Source organism: Homo sapiens, chromosome 1 (assembly GCF_000001405.40).
Source record: "Homo sapiens chromosome 1, GRCh38.p14 Primary Assembly".
Taxonomy (NCBI): domain Eukaryota; kingdom Metazoa; phylum Chordata; class Mammalia; order Primates; family Hominidae; genus Homo; species Homo sapiens.
Window position 1 is genome coordinate 146,418,506 of NC_000001.11, and position 26,118 is coordinate 146,444,623.

Below are 26,118 nucleotides of genomic sequence, written 5' to 3' on the forward strand. Positions count from 1 at the left end.
GTGCTTAGAGATCATACTGTGTATGATTTCTATTCTTTTTAATGTACTGAGACATGTTTATATAGCCCAGATTATCATCAATTTTAGTGAATGTTTTAAATGTGCAGTTGCTAACAATGTCTTTTATATTGCTGTTTAGTGGACTGTTTTAGAAAAGTCAATCAGGTAAATCTGATTAAGAGTATTGTTTTTCTTCTATCCTTTTGCTGGTTTCTTATCTCATTCTATTAGTTACTGAAAAAAATGGGTTAGAATCTACAGTCTCCAACAATAACGGGATATATCCATTTCTTTTTTCTGTTGTATATTTCTTCTTTGTATATTTTAAAGCTCTATTGTTGGGCAATATTTGGTATTGTTGTGTCTTCTTGTTGAATTGACCCTTCTAACATCATGAAATGTTATGCAATTCTGGTAACATTTCTTATTGTAAAACTTACTATTTCTGTCCAAATCTATGCCCTGTCCCTTTATAAAATAATGATGATAACAAATAATACATAATATTTATTGTTTTTTTATCTCCCATTTTTAAAAATTCTGGGGGTTTAGATTATTTGAATTTATATAATTATTGATAAAACTAAAATCAAATCCACCATCTTTCTATTTGTTTTCTACTTGTTCCATCTTACTTCTTAATTTTATTTTTATTTTTTAAATTTTTATTTCATCTAGAGTTTACAATACACATCTTTAACTTATCACAGCTCTATGTAGAGTATAAAGAATGTACAGCAGGAGAAGTCAGTTTTTCTCTTCTGTCTTTGCACTACCGTTATCATACATTTTACTTCAAATGCATACATTTAACATGTGCCACAAATCCTATAACACTTTATTGTTTTTGCTTTAAATAATCAATTATCTTTTAAGGAGAAAAAACAAAAAAATTTTACATAATTTTTATATATTTCTGGGACTCTTAATTTCTTTTTTTATAGATCAAATTTTCCTTCTGGTATTATATTTCTTTTACTAAAGAAATTTTCTTTAACACTTATGTAGTGCAAATGTGCTAATAATGAATCAGCTCAGTATTTGTTCTGAAAAGTCTTTTTCTTTTTGGAAGACATTTTTGCTGGTTAAAGACTTCTAGGTTGGCAAAAATGTTTTTAAGTACTTTAAAGAACAGCTCTATAGTTCCTGGCCATTTTTTTCTTACTTACATAGATTCCGATGAGGAGTCTGCAGTATTCTTGATTGTATGTAGTGGGTTTTCCCCTCATGAGCTGTTCTGCCCCTCTCTCTCGGTTCTCTTCTTCTGGCACTCCAATTACATATACATTCAACTCCTTGACGCTTTCCCAAGTGCAGTGCTGGAGACTGAAGATTTAACTGCAGTGAGCTTGGACTGTGAGGATTGAAGCAGAGCCAAAAACTGACAGTTAGTAATCATTGCAGATGTTTGCTGAACAATTGCAAGGTAGCAGGCACTATTCTACTTTTCACCTGTATAATTCTGACTTATCCTCAAGATTTATCTTGAAATTTTCCAGAAAGCCTTCCTATACCATCCTTTCTCACCCTAACCTCTACCTCACCTCTCACACTAGGTTAGGTAGCCCTCTTTTTTAGTTTTACTGCACACTGGGTTTCCAGTGTTTTTAAATCTACTACTCTTTATTCTATTAGATCTTTTTATTTTTAATCTCCATGGCTAGGCTGTGAATTCCATGAGGGCAAAGACTATGACTATTGTCTTGTGTCATAGTCAAATGACCTCTCCTTTGCCCAGGGTGTGTTACATTCTCAATGTGTATATCATGAAAGAATGGATGAATAAATGGTGTCTCCCACTAGACTGTGAGTTCCTCAGAGGCAGAAATTACACTTTTCCCATGTTTTCGTGACCCTGGTTCAATATATATGATTGATGAAAAAGAGCGTTTCAGCAATTACAGTTTTTGTTTGTTCGGTTTTTGTTTTTTGTTGTTTTGAGACAGGGTCTCGCTCTGTCTCCCAGGCTGGAGTGTAGTGGCACTATCTCAGCTCACTGCAACCTCTGCCTCCCGGATTCAAGTGATTCTTGTGTCTCAGCCTCTCAAGTAGCTGGGATTACAGACGCAAGCCACCATGCCTGGCTAATTTTTGTATTTTCAGTAGAGATGGGGTTTCGCCGTGTTGGCCAGGCTGGTCTCTGACTCCTGACCTCAAGTGATCTGCCCTCCTTGGTCTCCCAAAGTTCTGGGATTACACTAAACTCGTGGGAGGCAGAGAAGCAACAGCTAACAGAAGTGGGGAGGAGGCACTGTAACAATTACATTGAGGGCCATCTTTGTTTAACATCAGAAGATTACAGGATAAAATTATTTGTCATGTAGTGAGCCAGGGGTAGAAATCCTGTTTTAAAACTGATTTTCTGTGGCTTCAGCAAATCATAGAATTGTCAGAGCAATTACCCAAAGCTCCAGTGGAAAGGAAGAGTCAGTCTTGTTTGCATACTTGCCTGGCCTAGATCTTTTCATGATCTTTCTGCCACCATGTTGCTGAAGAAATCTTCACTCCCTTTGCCTGTGTGTGTTTGGGATGGAATTACTGAAATCCTTCCTGAATTCTGCTTACGTGAAATGTTACTCCATGTGGTTTTAATTCCATGAAGATATTTCCTCCAGTGTATGTGAGTTATATAGGTTGGGAATAACTAGAAAAAGAGATGACTGGGTTAGAAACAGGAAAGAAAAGGAAATAAAATGCAACAAAACAAAGCACAAAGCAGGCAGAACAGGCAGAGGTCCTGCAAAAGGGCTTTGGGCAATGGAGGGGAGTGCTGAGAGCCAGACGATGTCTGGACATGCATTAGAGGGGTGAGTGCAGGTCTTTGGGGAATCTTCCTCTGTCCCTGTAGTCACACTGTCCATCAAAGGTGGCAGACAGGCCAGGCACAGTGGCTCACGCCTGTAATCCCAGCACTTTGGGAGCCCAAGGCAGGCGGATCACCTGAGGTCAGGAGTTCGAGACCAGCCTGGCCAACATGGTGAAACCATGTCTCTACTAAAAATACAAAAATTAGCCAGGCATGGTGGTGCACGTCTGTAATCCCAGCTACTCGGGAGGCTGAGGTATGAGAATTGCTTGAACCCAAGAGCCGGAAGTTGCAGTAAGCTGAGATAGCGCCACTGCACTCCAGCCTGCGGGATAGAGTGAGACTCTGTCTCCAAAAAAAAAAAAAAATTGGGGGACAGACAGACCTTCACTCCATCAACTCAACCAGGAATCTTGTGGAGAAACCCCCTAAGAAGAAAAAAAAAAGCAAAGGAACATGTCTCTCAGTGGGTGTATTACCCACGAGGAACGAAAATGAATGTACGGGAGTCTGGTTGGAACAGACAGAAGGGGAGATCCTGAGAAGATTCTTCCAGCAAAAGATATTAACAGGAAATGGGCTTCAGAGAACCCAGTACATGAAGATGTGCAAAATGCCTTGTATAGCCTTTTTTAGTTTGCCTTTATTGCTGTATTGTAATAGATATTAAAATAGATATTTACGAATGTCTTCAGGGTGAGTCACAGCTCTTGTTTCCCAGCCCTCCCTTTCTCAAGTCTTCCATTCCTCCATTGCAAGTTTTCCAGCACAGATATTTTCAGAAGCTGGATTCCTGTATTGGGGAAGTTGTTCTGCACTTTAATCACCGACTTGTACCTACACAAGGGGAGAGGTTGTAACTCGGGGAGCTAATGTAAAGAGAAGCTGTACCATTCAACATATGTATATGAATGTTGTCATTTTTACTTTACATGCATTTATTTGCTTACAGAAAATTGCATAGTGCAGCAAATCTATAAAAAGTCAAGCTTTATTGTCAAGAAGCTTAGAGTGACCAAAGACAAAGGGAGACCCATAATATGCTCATTACTGCTTACACTTTTAACTCGAGCTAATCATATTCTTATGTTCGCCACATGTACACATTAAAGAAAATGTCAGTAATTACTGAAGAATTTAACATAATGAATACATGTAAAAACAAGGTTTTAATTACAGCATTTACACAGGTTACAAACTCTAACATGCCTTTGTATAAGAGACAATCAGATCCATACATTTTGTTTTCTAAGCCATTTTGGGGAGAAAAAAAAACCAGCCCTTGATATTTGAGTCATGCGAATACTCTGGGGTTCCAAGATAGTACTCTGGCATTTTTCAACAAGGTCTTTTTCCTCACTATGGAGAAAGCGTCAGTCGCAGAGTTCACAGTGTGTAGTCACATCACTGAGAAATGTGCATGCATCTGACCTCACACCGGGATACTTCTCCCTGTGTGACCAGTTCCAAAGACGTCTTCTGAGTTTAGTTCCAGGACAAGCTAAAGTGAAATGTTGACTTTCAGTTTCATCAACTGCTGATGTTGACCGCACTCCAATGATGGAAAGAGTTTGAGGTCACAGCAGTTACTGGGCCAGGGAGCCTATTTTCCTCAGGAATCCAAGAGAATCAAACCCTCAGTATGGACCAAGAAGCAATATGGACTTATCTGATCTACAAGATGAAAAGTATTCAAAATTGCTTTAAAAAATAGTCAATTTGGTTCTGGAAATAAATTGTGAGAATTTCTGTATCTATTTCTATTATCTTAAAAAGTAGGCACATATCTAAGTGTTACTAATATTGAACATGTAGACTGATTCTGGACTCCCCACTCAGGCTGCATGTCAGAGATTTGCATAGCAAGTGAAGTCACTGGTTTCCTGAGAAATGTGGGCCCTGCAGAGGGCAGAGGAGTTCCCACAGCCCCACTCACAGGGTCTCTTGCAGCTATTGTTAAATGGCACAGTCATCTTAACCATGGCAAGTGAATTCAAGGATTAAATTGTCTACTTTTGACTAAACTAACTTCACAAAAGGTTAAGTGGGTTAAAAAATTTCCTACAAAGAAATACCAAATTTAGATAATATGATAATTCAAGAACAATAAAATATCAGAGCTACATTTCTTCAATTAGTTGTATATACTCTTGTCAACCACGTAGCAAAGTTGAAAACAATGGCAAGGAGTCAGCCAAAAATTCTACATTATCATCAGGAAAGCATTTTGAAACATAGGTTATATCCATTGTCATCAATGTCAACTCACTCTAAGTGCATATTCTAACTCAAGATTTGAAGTTGATGATAGTATTCAGGAAACACGTACGATTTGATTACTCATGCTCAAAGCCATGTGTTATTGAACCAGCCACTTTACAAAATTTAATTAAACTTAATGATGAAAATTAAAAGTCTCTCTGAAAGATCTTATCAAAGAGCAAAAGACAAAAGCCACTTACTATTGGGGGAAATGTGTTCCTTATAATATGCAAGCTTATTTTCCCATCATTTTGATCAAAACAGAAGAAAAAATATATGAAAACGTATAATAACAAGCTTAATAAATAAAACATGCAAAAATATGGTGTGTTACTTATTTTAACATGAATTTCTATGTATTTACAGTTATCTGAAACAAATATAAAATAGTTTGGATCCTTGTGATTGGTCACAAACTTAGAAAGCCTGCCCTTTACATGCAGCAAACTTTTAAAATTTTTGCATATAACAAGCTTTTAACTGATTAAAGTAATGCCACTCTAGTTATTTATGAAATACATCAAAAAGGCCGGGCATAGTGGCTCACACCTGTAATCCCAGCACTTTGGAAGGCCGAGGCGGGCAGATCATGAGGTCAGCAGATGGAGACCTTCCTGGCTAACATGGTGAAACCCAGTCTCTACTAAAAAATACAAAAAATTAGCTAGGCATGGTGGTGGGCACCTGTAGCCCCAGCTACTCTGGAGGCTGAGGCAGGAGAATGGCGTGAACCCAGGAGGCGGAGCTTGCAGTGAATTGAGATCATGCCTCTGCACTCCAGCCTGGGCAACAGAGCAAGACTCCATCTCAGATAAAAAAAAGAAAAAGAAAAAGAAAAAGAAATACATCACAAAGTAGATGGTATTTTATTTGGATTGATAGATTTATCATTTATAAATGCTTTTCTGTAGTATTCATTTTGTCCATAAAGCACAAAGATGCTAAATCATATACAAATTCTTCCAGGTACTTGTCAAGTGAGTTGATTTTTGTTTTCTAACTATGTAGAAAGTTAAATTCATCAGTTGCTTTTCCAGACGGACCCATTTCAGGTCTCTTGACTACCATCACCTATGTGAGCAGAAGGATTCAGGGGATCCTTGGTGGACTGCTGAAGAATGAAGCATGTGCACCCACTTTACTTCTACACTTTGGCAGCTGTAGAACAGAGACAGTGGTGGTGCAGGATACATCCTTGTATCTGGGAATTAATTCCTTTCCGAGGTGTATACTACTTAGCTTTGTGACTAAAATCTACGGGCTTCAGTTTCCTAGTCTTGCTAAATTGGAAACATGTTAATATCTATGATTGTAGCACATCACAAGTAAAGATAAATGAGAAAATGAATGCTTTGGCTGGGCATGGTGGCTCACGCCTCTAATCCCAGCACTTTGGGAGGCCGAGGCAGGTAGATCGTGAGGCCAAGAGATTGTGACCATTCTGGCCAACATGGTGAAACCCTGTCTCTACTGAAAGTACAAAAATTAGCTGGGTGTGGTGGCAGGTGCCTATAGTCCCAGCTACTTGGGAGGCTGAGGCAGGAGACTCACTTGAACCTGGGAGGCGGAGGTTGCAGTGAGCCAAGATCACGCCACTGCACTCCAGCCTGGCGACAGAGCGTCACTTCATCTCAAAAAAAGAAACCAAAACAACAACAACAAAAAAACAACAACAAAAAAAAAGGACAATGTACGCTTTGTAAACTTTAAGTCTGGGAGATGGCTAACATTATGGGGGAAGACTTGGCCAAGACAGCCCAGAAACCACAAGGTGAATAATAGCACCCAGAACAGAAGGTCCACCATGAAGATAAGGACTTAATCTATCAGGAAGGATTAAATGTAACCGTCAAGAGTAGGCTTGATGGAGGAGGGTGAATCTGAATGGAGCCTTGAGCTACAGTGGGGTTTACAGCACAGGCAAATCCTGGTGACTGCATGCTAGATGAAAGGAATTGGACAAATGAAATAACTGAGGCAAGAGAGGTTGGGCATGTTCAAATTCGTATCTGTATTGCATAGATAGCTTAAGAATGAAGTAGAGCCAGAAAAAACATACTAGGCTCAGATTACGGAACATGTTTAATGCTAGGCTAAGAACTGTGTTCTATTATATATGCAAAGAGGATCCATGATCGCTTTTTGAGCAGAAAAATCACCCAAGTTATTGTGATGTTTTAGGAAGATACTTGGGTAGCAATGTGGAAGAGGCACTGAAGCAAGCAGATTGAAGGCAGATGCTACGTATAAGACCATAAAGCTTTTGCACTGGATTTGATCAGTTGCAATGAAGGCTTGAGTTTGGATGGTGGTCTTGGGAAAGTTCAAAAAAAAAAAAAGGAGAGGAGGGGTCATAACTGAAAGCCATTTTATCATGACTAAGAAGTCAAACATGTTAATAACCTCAAGAGATATTGGAACAAGCAGAAAATATTCCTCTTTTGTGCATCCATACTTTTATTAAGAAAAGCTTAACGGAGCTTGAGATATTTATAGAAAAGGCCAGTACCATGAGGAAGGACATGTGTTCCTAGAACACGTTTAAAATGATAGTGTTCTTTAATTTTAAAATATGATGGAGGATAGTTTTCAAATTTTGTCTCGCAGTTTTTGCAAAGTTACTAAAGTTTCCAAATTCTAAAACCACATGGTAGTCTGCCAGCTACACATGGAGCAAATAACCTGCCCTGATGCTCCCCACTTGTAATCCAGCCAGCAAGCCCTGTCTCTCCATTCCCAAGGCTGTGTTCACAGACAGCATTGACCAAAACCAGCCAGTTCCCCCCAAACCCCTGCTGCACAGTATCTGACAGATATCAGTGATGGCTTATCTTCACTTGTCTTTCAACCCCTCTTTATTCTCTACCCCTCTTTATGCACCCCAAAACTGCCAATATCTCTATAAATAGCATGACTCTGGCTTTCCTGGGCTTGAACTTCCATGTGGATTTGGCTGACGGAGATCAATGTAAGGTGATGGGATGCTCAGAAGACAGAGAGTTGGGGGTAATTTTCTCCCACTCCTTTTCTGCAGTGGGAACTGCAGTGATGGCAACAGTATTCTCTCCACGAAAACACTCCCTGCCTCCTGCTGTGGTTTCAATATTTGTGTCCCTCCAAAATTCATGTTGAAACTTCATCCTCAGTGTGACAGGATTAAGATGTGAGGCCTTGAGGAGGTGATTATATACCCTTATAACAGCACTCTAGGGGACTAGCTAGATCCTGTTTGCTTTTATATTCCTTCTGCAATGTGAGGACACAGCAAGAGTCGCCATCTTGGAAGCAGAAAGCAACCCTCTCCAGCCCCCAGATCTGCTGGCACCTTGATCTTGGACCCACAACTGTGAGAAATATGTTTTTCTCAATAGACTACATAGCCTCCATGTCCATGTTCTGTTAATGCAGAACAAACAGATTAAGACATCCCACAGTTCGGGCATTGACCAGTGCCCTCTTTGCCCACCTTTGCTGCTGGTAGCCTGTCTTGCAGATACCCAGTGGCTTTACAGAAGGGGAGGTGGCTTCCTGGAGGTTCTCACACAGTGCGAGCTGAGAGATGGCGTGCTGCAGGCCTGGAGCACTCCTCTCCAGCATGCAGAATGACTGTGGAGCAATGACCAATGTATGACTCTGTCTCTTGTGTGACCATGTGCTCCGGTTTTCCCAGGACATAATAATAATAATTTCTAACATAATTATTAACAACAACCCCTTTCACCGTCAAAAGTGACCTGACTTAGATAACTGAATTGTAAGTTCACTCCACCTTTTCCACAAAGCCAGAATACTAGAACACACGGTCAGAAAACAAAAGGGTGAAATTGGGTATGACCTCCCTCAGTCTTACACTGATGGGATCTGTATTTTTCATTTTTAATTCCTTATACTCAGTGTGTTGTGAAGTCCTAGGGCCAAGGGAAGAATTTTGCATCAAGAAACATAGTCCTGGTTTCGTTCAATGAGAACCTGAGACTGTTCTATAATCATGTTGGGCTTTTCATGTTACGAGATAGAGAATTCCTGTTTTGAACTGGCATTTTACAGTGCCGAAAGGATGTTGGAGTGTTTGTATACAATGGGAGCAAAGAAGATTACATCTAGAACATGGGCAATTTACTGGGGCTCCTTAATTCACTAGTGTCCAAAGATAATGGTTAGTGGGAAACTGTAGCTGTAAAGGATTTGCAGTCTATTGGAATGAAAATTTTGGTCATACTACTAGTTTAAAATTTCTGATAGGGAAAGGTGTTGGTAGAAGGTAAAGGGAGCATTGATAGGTGATTTGAAAAAATGAAAAAGAGGAACTATCAACATAGAACATAGACCAACAGCAGAGGCAGAACCTATATCAGCTATTGTTTACTTGTGCTGATTAATGCCTTCCTTCCCTTTATCATGCTGCCTGATGTGAAGAGTACTGGTGGAACTAACATTACAACCTAGGTTCCAGGTAGGGGTATGACTGAGTTGATACCAGCCCACCACCATACAGTGGCAGGTGCCCTTTGTAAGTAAGGAGGATAGTAAATGTTATCCTCCTTACTCTACCATTGCACTGCTAAGTAGGCTTTTATTTTGCTGTATTTGCCACCTTTAAAATTTATCCTTCGCACCGTAGTCATAACAAGTGAGGTAATTAATGAGGCTTCCTTACCTTCACTATCTTTCTTCACCTTTGACATGGTAAAGTTTATTATTTCTGGCCGGGAGCGGTGGCTCACGCCTGTAATCCCAGCACTTTGGGAGGCCGAGGCGGGCGGATCACGAGGTCAGGAGATCGAGACCATCCTGGCTAACACGGTGAAACCCCGTCTCTACTAAAAATACAAAAAATTAGCCGGGCGAGGTGGCGGGCGCCTGTAGTCCCAGCTACTCCGGAGGCTGAGGCAGGAGAATGGCGTGAACTCCAGGGGGCGGAGCCTGCAGTGAGCCGAGATTGCGCCACTGCACTCCAGCCTGGACGACAGCGAGACTCCGTCTCAAAAAAAAAAAAAAAAAAAAGTTTATTATTTCTATGTTATTGGGGCATACGACATTTCCAGCCTATTCTGTAACCCTAATCCACATTTGGTTTCAGTCTACAGTAAAATACATTCAATACTTACAACTTTTTTTTTTTTTGCTGTATTTTACCAAAGCATCTTCCTTTAATTGGTTGTTATTGTTTTCCTTCCTTCTGTAACCAAATGTATTGCCCTTTTTCTCCACATACCCATGTTTTTGTTCTCTCAAAAACATTAATGAAAATATTTTTTCCTGAATTCTTGCTTGATAAAAACCGCAACAAATTGTAATATATCATGTCTGCATAGTAAGACTAGCTTGGCTGCACATAAAAATCCTTGGTTGGCATTGAGAATCTTGTTGGTCTTCCCTCATGACCATCCAGCTTCAGTACAGCTAGGGGAGCCAGGACAGCCTTCTTCATTTCTCCTGTGAGTGACTTATTCTTTTTTTCTGGCTGCCCAATAGATACCTTATTTTTTTTAAGTCCAATACCTTCATTAAGATGTGGTTCACTTTTTGCCTGTCATGAATGGATATACCTTGCTTCTGATGTGCCCTTTTGAAAGGTAGATTCAAGTCTTCATGCATTGCACAGAAGTGTTCTTGAATTATAATTTTGAAGTATTCGTTCTGTCTCTTTTGGTTTCTTCTTTGGATGTTCCAGTAATGTATGTGTTCAATCCATTTGTCGGTCTTCCATAGTTCTCATTTTCTCTGTAATACTTGAGTTTTGCTTTTCAGATGTTTGCTTAGATAATTTTTGTATAAATGGGTATCTATTTCCTTTTATTTTTGTAATATACTACTAAATGGTTTGGGTTTTCCTAGATAACTACAGAGGTTCAGAGAGAGAATTAAGACAACCTTCTGGGCCTCACACCAGAATGGCTCTTTCCTACTGGGCTATCACAGAGACAGACTGCTTCCTGCAAGTATGGCTCCTCTGGTGATTCTCTGTGTGGTTGAATCTCCCTTGTTCCTCCCTTGAACAAAACTGGGTCCAGGAGGGGACTTTTTCTGGTAGACTGTGTACCCTGGTTCCCACTCCTGTGGTTAAAAAAAAGGGGTATAAGTTTTGAACATGGAAGTGAACTCCCAAATTTTCAGGGAGTACATTTTGTTGGTGTTTTCTGAGATTATCAGCCATTGGCCTCACTACCTCCATACTTCATTTACTCCCATGTGGCTTGTGCCTGATTCCAACTAGATTTGGTCATCTCTACATACGTTTTGAAATCTTTGGATTCTAACTTTTTCTAGTTTCACTAAGGATATATTTGGTTCTTTTTTTCTCCATTTTCCTTGTTGCTTTTTTATGTGTTCTGGAATAATATGAGGAAAAATGCTGACTTTTACAGCCTGTGTATACAACTACCTCTACAGAAAATTTTAAGATATATATTAGTTCTTTATATTCACACAATAACTTTGCAAATAGTCCTAGTGTACAAAGCTTATTCCGATATCTTGCTGTGTTTTTAAACAAACATATATACATATATGCTGTGATAGTTGATGTTGAGTGTCAACCTGATTGGATTGAAGGATGCAAAGTATTGTTCCTGGGCATGTCTGTGAGGGTGTTGCCAAAGGAGATTAACATTTAAGTCAGTGGATTGGGAGAGGCAGACCCTCCTTCTATCTGGGTGGGCACCATCTAATCAGCTGTCAGCACAGCTAGAATAAAGCAGGCAGAAGAAGATGGAAGAACAGACTTGCTGAGTCTTCTGGCTTTCATCTTTCTCCTGTGCTGGAAGCATCCTGGTCTCGAACATCAGACTCCAAGTTCTTCAGCTTTTAGACTCTTGGACTTACACCAGTGATTTTTCAGGGGCTCTCGGGCCTTTGGCCACAGACTGAAGACTGCATTGTTTACTTCCCAACTTTCGAGGTTTTGGGACTCGGACTGATGCACCACTGGCTTCCTTGCTCCTCAACGTGCAAATGGCCTATCATGGGAATTTATCTTGTAATCATGTGAGTTGATTCTCTTTAATAAACCCCCTTTTATATGTACATCTATTCTATCAGTTCTGTCCCTCTAGAGAACCCTAATACACATGCATACACATATGTGGTCATGCAGACATGTATACATGCATGCACACATATGTGACCATATGAACATGCATACACATATGTGATCTTTGCCATTGTGGATGGCTAGGATGATTTTTCTCAGGAAAGGTATCTGTGTTATTAGAAAAATAGCCCTGGTTCTCATCCTAAAGTCATAAAAATCAGGAGGTAACTCAGTAAAAGGAGACACACACACACACACACACACACACACACACACGATGTTATATGTATAAGTGATTTAATATTTTATATATATAATCAAATCCTTGAAATTGCCCTTTGTATTAATCAGGGTTCTTTATAGAAACAGAATCAAGAGTATGTGTGTGCGTGTGCACACATGTGTGTGTGTGTGTATATATATATACACGTATATATTTAATACGTGTGTGTGTGTGTGTGTGTGTATATATAGACAGAGAGAGAGGGAAAGAAGGAGAGAGAGGGAGTTTATTATAAGAAATTGGCTCATGTGATTATGGGGGCTGAAAGTCTCACGATCTGCCATCTGCAGCTGGAGACCCAGGAAAGGCAGTGATGTAGTTGAGAGAACCAAAGTGTCGATGGTATAAGACCCAGTCAAGAACAGCACAGGGGGCTGATGTGTCAGCTCAAGCAGTTAGGCAGAGGGTGAAGTCACCCTTCCTGTGCTTTCTGTTCTATTCGGGTCTCAGTGAATTGGATAATGCCCACTCACACGGTGGAGGGCCACCTGCTTTACTCAGTCTGCTGATTCAAACGCTAATCTCATACAGAAACAGCCTCACAGGCATAACCAGGACCCATGTTTAGTCTGGGCACCTCATGTCTAAGTGAATTTGACACAAAAATTATCCATCATGCCCAGAGTTCTTAATCAAAGTTTCAATGACTGAGGCCAGTCCTGGGCCGCTAATGTTCGTCCAATATTGCGTCTAGTTTTACCATCCCTTCCGTTTGCCAGAAATAGAAACAGAAAATGTTCTACATGTTTGCACCACCAAATAATGAATAAGCAATCAAATGCCATTTTGATTATTGACCTTCTAGCTTTTACAAAACACAAAACTTGCACAAATAAAGATACTACTGGAAGCCAAGGAACCTAGAGACACATGTAAATTCTCTTTATCTCTGCTCGATGCATAAAGTATTCCTATTTAAGAGTAAATTTCCTCTTGTTTCAGTGAAAGATATTTTTAACTGATATTTTTACCTTCAGCAAACACATAAACAGTGAAAGTTATCCCAAATATTGCCATTTTCAATTTCCAAAGGAGCTTATGCTAATTTCAGAGGCATCTCTATGGTTTATATGTATATTTAATATATAAGGCAGGTCCTACTATCTCTATTTTACAGAAGAAGAAACTGAAGTTGGAAAGATCAACAAGCTTACCTGAAGTCACAGGGCGGGAGAGTAAAGGAGCAGAATTTTCAACCTAAGTTTATATGATTCTAAAATTTTCCACTACCATGCTACTAAAAGAAATTACTCAACTAGTTCTTCCTGTTCAGGTAAGTCAGTTCAGACTTTGCTAATTCTGAATAAAGGGGACAGAAGTTATGATGCTGTAACTATTTGACATAGACTGTGTTAGACTGTGTTAGATTAGAGATGAGAGGCAAAAATCTGACCCTAGTATATTTGCTTTCATTGATTCCAATGTCATCTTTAGGTTTTTGTATATTTCTTTCTGATTTTAACATATGATCCTTTATTTTCTTCTTACTTTCCTCCCTTCCTCCTTTCTCTGTCAAATTGTTTTCCTCTTCCTCCTCTTTTAAAAATTCTCAAAATTTGACTATAAATTGCTTTTTCTTCTTTGCTCCTTTTCACAACTCTTTCATTGCCACAAGGCATTCAGGTAGAAAAAAAGGCCAAGGTAGTCTGCAGTGTGCTAGCTATTTACCCAATTGACCCACCATATCTTTTACATAAGCAAATAAATTAACAAGTTATGTAAATAATTTATATTCAAATATTCAGAAGTGTCTTAGACATGTTTAATATGCTACCAGTAAACTCCTTTTAGGAGGAGACCACATGCAGCTTTAGAATAGAAAATAGAAGAAAGGAAAAAAATAAACAAATGAAGGTTTTTCTCTGCAGTCTTTATGCAAGCAACGACTTATTTCTTAAACTCTCCCCTTTGTGGCTATCACTCAAAGAAAATAAAGAAGAAAAGCTACTGGCTTTCTAGTTTAAATCACAGTCTCATTATTCTGTAGGTGAATGGGGAGGGGGATTGGAATCATAGGTCCGAGTGGGCAGTAACTTGAAGTCAATGGAGATATATACAAAACAGAAGCACAATAACGATCCAGCAGTTCTGGAGCTGCTAACTTTTTCTGCCTTTTTCTAAATGTCCAATAATAAGGTTCTAATGGAGACTGAAGATCCATCACCTGCTCCACATCTCCAGGGGGCCCATGTGTGCATCGCAGTGCAGATCATACATGCTTCCTTCCCCTCCCATGGCAAGGGGAATACTGAATGATGACAACTCACATGTGTAACCCAAGGGCTTTGCTTGGGTTTGCAAGGACTAGTGCACAATACATTCTTTGAGTGTTATAATAACATTAAGTCAATGCATGAATTATAATCCCTATTTCACAAGTACAAAAACACATTCAAAGAAATTAAATTCCTTGCTCACCAGTTATTGACAAAAATTACAATATTTATGTTTCTTTTGAAAAATATTATAAAGATTCTCAAATTGTCTAACCAATCATATTATCCGTATTTGTCTCTTCTCAAGCTGCTAATAAAGACATACCCAAGACTGGGACATTTATAAAGGAAAAAGGTTTAATTGACTCACAGTTCGGCATGGCTGTGGAGGCCTCAGGAAACTTACAATCATGGTAGAAGGGGAAGCAAATATGTCCTTTTTCACATGGCGGCAGCAAAGAGAGGTGGGAAAAAGGAGGGAAAAGCCCCTTATAAAACCATCAGATCTCATGAAAACTCACTTACTATCAGGAGAACAGCATGGAGGTAACTGCTCCCATGATAAAATCACCTTCCACCAGGTCCCTCCCATGTCAGGTGGGGATTATGGGAACTACAGCTCAAGATGAGATTTGGGTGGAGACGTAGCCAAACATATCGTTATCTTGATAAGATATTGCTTTGGATTGAATCGTGTCCCTGCAAAAATCTTATGTATAAAAGTTCTGATCCCTGATGTGACTGTTTTTGAAGACAGGCAGGGCCTTTAGTAGGCACTTAAGGTCAAATTAGGTCATATGGGTGGGACCTCAGTCTACTAGGACTGGTGGCTTTATACTGAAAGAAAGAGACAGATGTCTCTCCCCTCGACCTCACATGTATAAAGGCCACATAAGGAAAAAGCAGCCCAAGCCGGTAAGAGGCCCCAACAGACGCCAAACCCTTCCAGCTTCATGATCTTGGACTTCACTGCCCCCAAAACTGTAAGAGAATGAAATTCTGCTGCTTATGCCATCCAGTCTGTGGCATTTAGTTACGCCAGCCTGCACTGGCTAATGCAGATATTCAGAATCAAATGAGTCATCCCAAGCAATTTCTCAGTATATACAGCACAGATTTCACCTTCTAAACTCACCCTTGTCTTCGCCTTTTTTTTTCTTTTTTTTTTTTTTTGAGACGGAGTCTCACTCTATCGCCCAGGCTGGAGTGCAGTGGCGCGATCTCGGCTCACTGCAAGCTCCGCCTCCCGGGTTCACGCCGTTCTCCTGCCTGAGCGTCCCGAGTAGCTGGGACTACAGGCGCCCGCCACCACGCCTGACTAGTTTTTTTTTTTTTTTAATATTTATATTTTTAGTAGAGATGGGGTTTCACCGTGTTAGCCAGGATGGTCTCAATCTGCTGACCTCGTGATCCGCCCGCCTCGGCCTCCCAAAGTGCTGGGACTACAGGCATGAGCCACCACGCCTGGCCAGTTTTTCTTAATTATTAAATAATCTTTCATTGATTTAAGAAATATTTTCATATGGTTCCTATTCAGGCCCAGGCATTGTTTTTTTGTGCTGCAGACAATGTGTTAATAAAAGCTGTCCAGCCTTGTTAGTACATCATGATATTTATATTTGACAAATCCTCTACTTAGATATGTATCACCTCCATAATTTTTTGGAGCACATAAATTTTTTGAACCAAATGGAATAAAAAGCTAGATATATACGTATAATGAATATATTTGAAACTTTGTACTTTGCTTTACAATTTGCAAAAGAACATCATATACAGTGTTGTATTTGAGTCTCCCTTAAGCCCTATTAAGAAGAAATTTTTCTATTTCTGCTGTTCAGTGAAGAAAATGAGCAAAAAAAGGTGCAGCAACTTCCCAATATCCCATATTTACAAACATAAAGGAGTGGGACTTTAATGTAGACTCTTGGTGTCCAAGTTTGTGCTCTTTATGCTTCATGACACCAGGTAAAGTGCAATGAGCACAGCAAATGTGCCCCCTCAGGAGCCAGCTAAGACCTTCCGGGGGCTTCTCCTGGAAGTACAGAGTCTGCGACCCCCATCCTAAATACACAAGCATTGGCATCACTGTCTCACAGTAAAACAAAACAAAACAAAACAAACAAACAAAAAAACAAAGAAAAAAACAAATACAATCTGTTCAGCAGAGTAATTGTACATAACACAAAAGAACTTCTGGGAAAAACACGGAACGCATATTGAAGTCAGAGGCTCAGTCATATGAAAATAAAAGGTCTTGTTGGGTGCCTAAGTCTTGTCTTTGCTAACAGCTGTTTTAGTGCAATACCAGTAAACCCAGCCAAAGGCATTCTAGTGAGCAACACAGGAAGACTCCTATACACTTCAATTTTCCAGCAATCCATAAAATTGAAACATAAAAATAGGATTCTATTTCCCTTGTTCATTCTATATCTTACCAGTACTTATATTTGCATATGTGTAGAAACTCAAGGTTTACAAAGCATATCCACGGTCTTTATTGTATTTCATGCTCCACAAAATGTTGCAAGGGACTCAGACAAAGTCCTGTTTGTACTATGTTACAGGTGAGAATGCTGACATGTAGAGGGGCAAGTACTTACCTGATCACGTTGTCTTAGTATGATGAAGCCTCACTTAAACCCATGATCTCATGTCTTCTCTTAAACTGATGCACTGAAATACAGTCAGGTAAAATAAAGAGTTAGGGGCACATTTTAAAATACATTTAAGGTGCATCAAAGATTTAAACCAATCACTTGTAACATCTCTATTTGTCAAACTCATTGGTGATCATTAGCATTTAGAGAGACCCAGGACAATTGCAAGATTCTAAATAATTTTCAAACCATAGTAGAGGATACTTTGTTTACTGTTATTTATGTATTAAATATCTTTTAATATACTATAGCTTTATAAGAACAGATAATCCATTTTCGGAATAAATTTGTGTTTTAATTGGCCAAAGAGTTAAATCCATTTTTTCTAGATCCTCTGGATAATTAGGAATCGGTAGTAAAAAGCAATTGCACTTTTCCAATAAAATAATATGCTCAGTTGTTCAAACCCACATTCTTGATAAAAACAACTAGAAATTCTGCATAAGATAGAAGAAAAAGAAGATTTTGGAGCAACAAAGAGCATACAAGATGGTAAGGAATTACAAGACCAAAATCTAAGTGATGTCTTGATCTCAGAAAAGAAAGCTAAATGTTGAATTCCCTTTGGCCCTTGGAGAATTCATGAAAGCAGTGAATTTGAGCTTCAGTTTTTCAGTCTCTGTGGAGTGATATGGAAGAAGGAAAAAATCTCAAGTCCCCAGCAACACGCATGTGATAATAGAAGACTCTCCCCCTATGAAACAAGACCTCCAAAGAGCTATAATTTCACAATAAGCATAAACCAAAAGTAAACCCACACTACCTCACTCCTGCTTCCATGTGTCGGCAAGGAAGTGTTCGTTGGTGCTGAACAAAGCATGGGGAAAATGCTGCTGTTGCATAAATTACATTCTCAAAAACTCAAGCTATAAATTTAGTTTAAAACAGTTCACAATACCTAATAGAAACAAATGTGCAGTTCCTCCTCATCCTGAAAGAATCTCCACAATAATATTCCAAGGAAAATAATGCACTCACAGCGTATGTATGTATCACCTATATGATGTATATAGCTGATAGATAAGTACATATGTATCATATATATATACATATAACCGTTACAGAGAACTAGAAGAAATAGTGGAGAAAGAAACAGTTCTACAAAGACCCTAGATTTAAAAATAATCAGAGAAAAATGTTGTAAAACAACTCTTCTCATAACGCCCAAAGTTGGAACATACTTGAAACAATCTCAGCAAAAGAAAGCTGTCAAATATGCAGCCATAAAAAAGGATGAGTTCATGGCCTTTGTAGGGACATAGATGAAGCTGGAAACCATCATTCTCAGCAAACTATCGCAAGGACAGAAAACCAAACACGGCATGTTCTCACTCATAGGTGGGTACTGAACAATGAGAACACTTGGACACAGAAAGGGGAACATCACACACCAGGAGCTGTCGTTGGGTAGGGGGAGGGGGGAGGGATACCATTAGGAGATATACCTAATGTAAATGACAAGTTAATGGGTGCAGCACGACAACATGGCACATGTATACATATGTAACAAATCTGCACGTTGTGCACATGTACCCTAGAACTTAAAGTATAATAATAATAATAATAATAACAATAATAATAAAAGAAAGCTGTTAAAAATGACCAGCATGGAATCTCTCTTCCCCATGTCAGACAACATTTCAGTGGTCCCTGTAACTATTGCTCTGGTCCTGAATAAAATCTTTCTCGCCATGCTTGAAAAAAAAAAAAACAGAATTGCAAAATATGTCTCTGACAAAGGACTAATATCAAGAATCTACAAGGACCTCAAAGAATTCAAGAAGAGAAAAAGAAACAACCCCATTAAAAACTGGGCAAAGGACATGAACAGACATTTTTCAAAAAAAAAAAAATGCAAGCAGCCAACAAACACATGAAAAAATGCTCAGAATCACTAATCATTAAAGAAATGCTCATTAAAACCACAATGAGATATCATCTTATATCAGTCAGAATGGCTGTTATTAAAAAGTTGAAAAAAGAAAAAAACAGAGGTTGACTTGGATGCAGAGCAAAGAGAGAACGCTTATACACTATTGGTGGGAATATAAATTAGTTCAAGCTCTATGGAAAACAGTATGAAGATATCTCAAAGAACTGAAAACAGAACTACCATTTGACCCAGAAATATTCATAACTGGACACCGACCCAAAGGAAAACAAATCATTATAGGACAATACCATGACAATAGCAAAGTCACGGAACCAACCTAAGTCTAACCTATGGGTCCATCAATAATTGATTGGATAAAGAAAATGTGATATATATACACATCATGTAATACTACACCACCATAAAAAAGAATGAAATCATGTCCTTTGAAGCAACATGGATGGAGGTGTAGACCATTATTCTAAGTGAATTAACTCAGAAACAGAAAATAAAATACCGCATATTCTCACCTACAAGGGGAAGCTAAACAATTGGTACACATGGGCATAAAGATGGAAATAATAGACACTGAGGTTTCCCAAAGGGGAGAGGATGTGAGTGTTGAAAAACTACCTATTAGGTACAATATTCATTATTTGGGTAATGGGTGAACTAGAAGCCCAATCCCCACCAGTATGCAATATACCCATTTAACAAACATTCACATGGACCCCTTGAATCTAAAATAAAATAAATATTTTTTAAATGACTGGAATGTGTGAAAAAGGAAACAAAGAACATTTCTAAAATAGAAAGATGCAAAAAATAAATTTTTAAATGCAATGGCTGTTCACTATTTTGTAGTAGCTAAAGTAGGTACTAGTGAATCCAAAGATCAGTCAGAAGAAATTATGTAGAATGCATCACAGCAAAACGAGGCAGTGAGACATTTTACCATATTTTTACTTGGATTCCTAAACAAAGAGGAGAAAGAACATAGAACAGAGAAAACGTTTGTAAGTAATATTTTAAGATAATGACTGATACCCTACATCAAAAGAAAGCCAACGGGAAGTTTCTAAATCTATAGAGGGTACACAAACATAAAACTACACTTGAACATGTCATGGTGAGTTGGACGAACCAAAAACAATAGTAAAACCAAAGAACAACCACACACATGCATAAATCCACAAGGTAGTGAATAAAACAGCTTACTTTCAAGGCGGCAGAATGGCATTGACCACTAACTACTCAACAGAAATGATGAAAGACGGATGCCAGAAGAATGAGATCACCAAAGTGCTAATAAAAAATAATTGCCAACCTAGAATTTCTAGGACCCACTTTTTAAGAGTAGGATGAAATGCAGACATTCTTGGGCAAACAAAAAAAGAGAGTTTATCTGCAGCATATCCTCAGAAAAGGATGTAATTAAATCAGAGAAAAAGATGAGGATCAAGAAGGTAGGAAACATGCAAAAATCATGACAAGTAGTTTTTGCCATTAAGAAAAAGATGAAACTAATTAATTCCACAAAACAAGTCAAGAATAACTCGTGAATTAGAGGGAGCAGAAATGGAGTTGCCATCTTCAAAGGCACTCGTTTTCAGGAGATGTATACAATTTTTGGAAAAACTTGTATTTGAAAAGTTAAGTATGCATTTTGCAATTTTCAGAGAGTGAAAGAATAGCAACAAAATACTTATAAACTAGGAAAGGAAAAATCTTGAATAAGAAAATAATCTATACCAAAAAAGCCACATTTAAGTACTATGTTTATTTTGTTAAATTAATTTAAATTTTAAAAATTTATCTTCACTCTATGCAATAATATTTGTGAAATTTTGACTCTGGTGTGTAAATTAACTTGTTTACTGCATTGAATCCTTTGTCATTTTTGTAATACTTTGATTATCTCCATCTAAATATTCAAACATCACCTCTTAACATAACCAGTGGTACACTTTCCATGATTTAGATATGGTGGTCTGACTAGCGTTGAAACTTGAGAGAAGCTAGCCTCAATAACAGGACCCAGGGATAACCATCTAGTTCTCCAGCGAAGGGCCTTAAGCCCTCTGGGGGTCCACATTGTTGGTTACTCACTAATCAAAGATGTGCCCGGCCCCTAGTTTTCTCCTCCCTGACTCAAGTTCATGTCATTCAACTCTCTGCCTGGTTCACGGACTCATGGTATTCTGCCCTACTCCTGCTGCTTGGCTATCCACCAGTTACCAAAAGCTGAAGTTGATGCAACCACGTGAAATTTCTACAAGACCCTCCCCTCTTTGGGCTCCCATCACATTGTCACTACTGCCAGATGTCATCAGCGTGAGAGAATCAGTGGTGGTCCACAGGAGCATCTTGTTGTCCCTCCCTAAATGATACCAGCACCACTTTCCTCCCAAAATCAATGCTCCCAACCACAATACCCCCCTTGGCTTCACTTGTGTTCCCAGCAAGCCATCAAAACTAGCACCAAGGCTCTCTCTAGGAGGCTATAAATATGTATGTTTTCCTTTTTTCTGTCTTTAAATGGTGAGTTAACACAAACAGACCTACGTACACCAGACCCCAAGGTATCAATCTGGATCCCTTCACAGGATCCTTTGACATTTTCCATTCACAGAACCAAGAAAAAAAAAGCAAACTCTGAAGCCCAGCCCTTCCCTCCTCTATTCCGCAGCAGGCAGCTGATGGGACGCAAATGGGGCTGCTGAGCTTCAGGGTGGAAATGGAAGCCAGTGCCTTGTGCTCCTTGTGATGTGAAACGTGTTGCAGCTGCTCAGAGAAACAAGAGTTTTCACTGGACACAGTGCAAGGAGCAAGCAGGATGCCTTTCATGGACAGAAGCTGCATCTGTCTATACTTCAGCCATTCAATCAACAAACATTTCATGATCATCAGTTACTGCTATGAAAGGTAGATGCTGAGGGTAAAACAAGGAACAAGATGAGAATGCCCCACTCCCATATGGCACATGTAAAAGCATAAAAGTCTATCTGAATCATTTTTGAAACAGAAGGCCCATGACATTGCCTGCTGAGTCCACATTGGCTCTTGTTTGTGGATACCAGCACATATTAAAATTATCTGAAATATTCAGTTGTGAGCCCCCTCCCCTGATATGGTTAGGCTTAGCGTCCCCACCCAGATCTCATCTTGAATTGTAATCCCCATAATCCCCATAATCCCTATTTGTCAAAGGAGAGACCAGGTGGAGGTAATTGAATCATGGGGATGGTTTCCCCCATGCTGTTCTCATGATAGTGAGTGAGTTCTCCCAAGATCGGATGGTTTTATAAGGGGCTTCTTCCCCTTTGCTTAGCACTTCTCCTTTCTGCCACCTTGTGTAGAAGGTGCCTTGCTTCCCCTTCACCTTCCACCATGATTGTAAGTTTCCTGAGGCCTCCCCAGCCGTGCTGAACTGTGAGTCAATTAAACCTCTTTCTTTTATAAATTACCCAGTCTCAGGCAGTTCTTTATTACAGTATGAAAATGGACTAATACAGTGAGAAAAAAATAGCTCTGGAGGGCTGGGTTACATTCAGGACATGTACTAAATATTTTAATGCATTTTTTTAGCAAGCACGTAAAATGTCTCCCCCGAGGCTTTAAGCTCTCTTTCTACTTCCCTAAAGGTTTCCCCATCAAAATAGGAAATAAATATTGAAGCTAGAAAAGGCTTGTCCCCTTCAAAGTAAGTAAGGGCACGCTTCATGACAGGCATATCTTTCTTCAGACAGTGGGGGAGGACACTTAATTCTTTCACCTAAGAAAAAAAAAGTTACAAAACAGCAACCTATGGAAACAAAAACATGGAATCAATGCATCTCCTGAAATAACTTCTCTGTAGTCCTGAGGGTGGTGTTTTGTTTGGCTTGTTCTCCTTCCCACCTTTTTATACCCACCAAGGATCCTTCTCCTTCTGTTGTAGCCAGGGCTCCTAGAGAAGGCTGTCAACATTGAAGGGCCCAGATCCCTTCTACCAGTTTTTCTTGTGCTTCCTATGTGCTTGTAACTGTGAATCTCCTGCTTTTCCAACAACTCTTCTGCCTTTTGTATGGGTATACATTAAAGGGGAAAATCAGGGCCTCTTCACACTACTCTGGCAAAATCAACCTGAACTGCTGGATTATAGGTCTTGGCCTCTGGAGCTGCCTGCTTGAGCCCTGGCAGGTCTGGAGGCTTGGGGCTCTTTCATTGACTCAGGAAATATTTCTGCTTCCCACCCAGGACTTCTGTTGTCTCTTCCTCCCTTCTCCTCCCCTGCTCTCAGGACTCTTAGATGTAGCCCAGGTTTGCTTCCACACAGTTGACATTGGCGGTGCACGGTCTTCTCCCCTCTACGCCCTCAGATCTCCACGCCTGTGCCTATGACACGTGCCACCTGCACCTGTGTTGCCAAGCCTGGCTCCTCATCCGTGGCCACTCCTGCCCCCACAACCTGCCAGTTCTGCCTCCTTTTTGCCTGCCTCCTGCCTATCTTTACTTCACTGATTTCTTTGGCTGGAAAATATTTCTACAACTTCCCCTCCCACACTCACCTGGGGCTATGACATTGTTGTGCGCACTGGTTGGGCCTCGCCCCTGCCACCTAACAAGTACATCCTACAGGCCCAGGAGGGCATTATCTGTGGTTTTGAATTTCTAGTGTCTCGAACTGTACTGGCCCAGAGAGGACCTCAAATATGGAAAACTGAAGTGATTGCTTTCTGCACGCGTTACCTATGCACCCATGCATAACTCACACAAACTTACTGAATCTTCATTTACTCTTCTGTAAAAGGGGAGTAATCAAAGAAATGCACTTTACTAACAACAAGAGGATGGCATAGTTTATCTTTTAAACTGATAAAGATGTTCTGAAATAAGAATCTATGTTTTCAAGGGTACAGGACTTTGGTAGTTACACCATGACAGTAAAGATGCATATTTTAGGAACTTGGTGGGGGATAATTTGACAATACACATCTACATGTTTACATTGTACATACCCTTTGACTGACACTCCACTGTTAGAAATTTGTACTAAGGAAATAATCAGACCTACAACATAAGCACTTAGCTATAGGAATACTGGTCAAAGAGTTGTTGATCATACTCAAAAATTAGAAACAATCTAAATATGCAATAAGAAATATTTAAAATAAATTATATTGCATTCATCTGATGTAATATTATACAGACATTTAGAAAGCTCTTGTAGTCAAAGGATAAGTAGGTTACCTTTGGCATATTAAATGAGTAAAACTGATACTAAGTTGATATACCCATTGTGATATAATTTTCTTTGGTTCTTAAATATTTTTATATACCTAAGGAAAAAGATTAAAAGCTTATGAAACCAAAATATTCACAGTTTAGTTATCACAGTCTAGTGTGATTATGGGTAATTTTTATTGTTTTAATTTCATATTTTTCTGTTCAAAGTTCCATTGCTTGTTTAATTAAAAAAAACTTTTAAATAATATTATAAAATGACCATCACAGAAAAAAATATCATTAGGCAATATTGCCATGACTATAGACCTTTCTCCCTACACTGTTATTCTTACAGTTGGATGCTTTGAATCGGGAAGTGATATATCGCCTCGCTTTTCGCTGGAGAAGGAAGCGCCAGCCTTTGTGAGCATGTGTATCACAAGCTAACTAGCACGAAGATTGCATAGCTCTTTCTACATAAGGCTACTGTTTGCAGAAATTTGGTCCATGGTCTCCAGTCTCTTGGGGTCTCACGCTCTGTGAAAATCTTCGTGTTTTTCCCTAGCCCCCAGAGTCACCTTTCACACAGCGTCTGCTTGTAACCGCGGTCCCCACAGGAGTTTGTAGGATTTCCGTGCCAGCGGTGAAGGTGTTCTCACCTCATAGAGCAAGGTAGAAACTACGCAGACAGGCGCTGTTCTTTGGGATGAAAGCAGGGCCTTTGGGGCTCTTTCTTAGTGTCCCCGTTCGGTCGTAGACATAACACGCTTGCTTTGTGTAGGAGATCGGCTCTGCCGGCGCCCAGGGGCCCTAAAGCAATTCATCGAGGCCCGCAGGTCAGAACTGCAGTCTCACCTGTCTTGGCGGAAATGCGCTGCGCTCCTCCCTGTACTACATAAGCACGAGAATTCCACTACAGAAGAAAACCCCAGGCCTAGTGATGGCGGTTCTGGGCATTTTGCCAGCTTCTCCCAGGGTGTGTTTTCTGACCCCACCCACTTCTGATCTGTAATGTCATGGTCAATAGAAACTACTTGGCCCAAACGGAAAAGGCAAGGAGGAACACAGCGGGAAAGCCTATGGCGTTCCCTGGTGGCTACCCCGGGGACTGCACTCATAGATCCGCGTGTTCCGAGAAGCCTCTGCCATCCCGACCCCGGAGCCGTGCAGAAACCCGCCGCTCCAAAGAAAACCGGCTAGAACGCACAGGAAGCCCAGCCAGTGTTCAGGACACGGCGAGTGGAAGCCGTACGTCCCACGGACTGATCTAGTTTGCTGAAGACGAGCCATTTACTTCTAACCCCAGCAGCGGACATTGCCTTGCTCAAATATAAAATATATGAACCAAGACCGAAAGCAACTCTTATTGCGTTACTGATGAGCAAACGGGTTTTTAGAATGGTTAAGAAATGTCCCTTGTTTTGGGACCGTCATCACTAACGTATGCTTGGGATTCCTGATCGAGGAGTTTCTGAGCAAAGCAGCCCACCAATCCAGTGGCTGAGAACGGCTTGGATATTGGCTTCCAGGCGCATCAGAAATACCGAGGTTCTGACAAAGACGTGAGCTTCTGTCTGCCTTTGGGAAGGCCTTCTTCCAGTCCTGGCGCTGCCGCTTGCCTTCTGTTTGACCTGGGGCCAGGTCCTTCAATTTGCTAGGCTTCAAGTTGGAAAGTGTTACAGGAAAATAATAATACGAAGTACTTCTTAGAGTTATTGCACAGATTACAGAAGATAGTCTAATAGTACAGCTAGCATCCTGTATGGCTTACATTAAG

At 39.8% G+C, this 26,118-nt stretch overlaps 3 long non-coding RNA genes across 5 annotated transcripts in view; 1 reads left to right on the top strand and 2 right to left on the bottom strand.

Annotated features, from left to right (window-relative positions):
* The window catches only part of LOC112268274 (uncharacterized), a 43,044-nt gene extending 41,693 nt beyond the window's left edge, over positions 1-1,351 (bottom strand). For both annotated transcript variants that reach the window (XR_002958622.2, XR_007066567.1), the window contains exon 1: positions 1,170-1,351. This is a non-coding gene — a long non-coding RNA (uncharacterized LOC112268274). The remainder of the gene's footprint in view (positions 1-1,169) is intronic.
* A 788-nt stretch (positions 1,352-2,139) lies between these two features.
* Positions 2,140-25,582, bottom strand: LOC105371235 (uncharacterized). Of its 2 annotated transcripts, XR_001737741.3 has the most exons (4): positions 25,001-25,582; positions 17,204-17,276; positions 3,490-3,643; positions 2,140-2,644 (listed from the first exon to the last, which is right to left on the bottom strand). It is a non-coding gene; the product is annotated as an uncharacterized LOC105371235 (long non-coding RNA). The 2 variants fall into 2 exon arrangements; XR_001737742.2 differs by lacking the exons at positions 17,204-17,276; positions 25,001-25,582 and adding an exon at positions 9,726-9,815.
* Positions 11,894-14,603, top strand: LOC124904407 (uncharacterized). The gene is made up of 3 exons (XR_007066579.1): positions 11,894-12,055; positions 13,502-13,657; positions 14,521-14,603. It is a non-coding gene; the product is annotated as an uncharacterized LOC124904407 (long non-coding RNA).
* Positions 25,583-26,118: the final 536 nt, after the last annotated feature.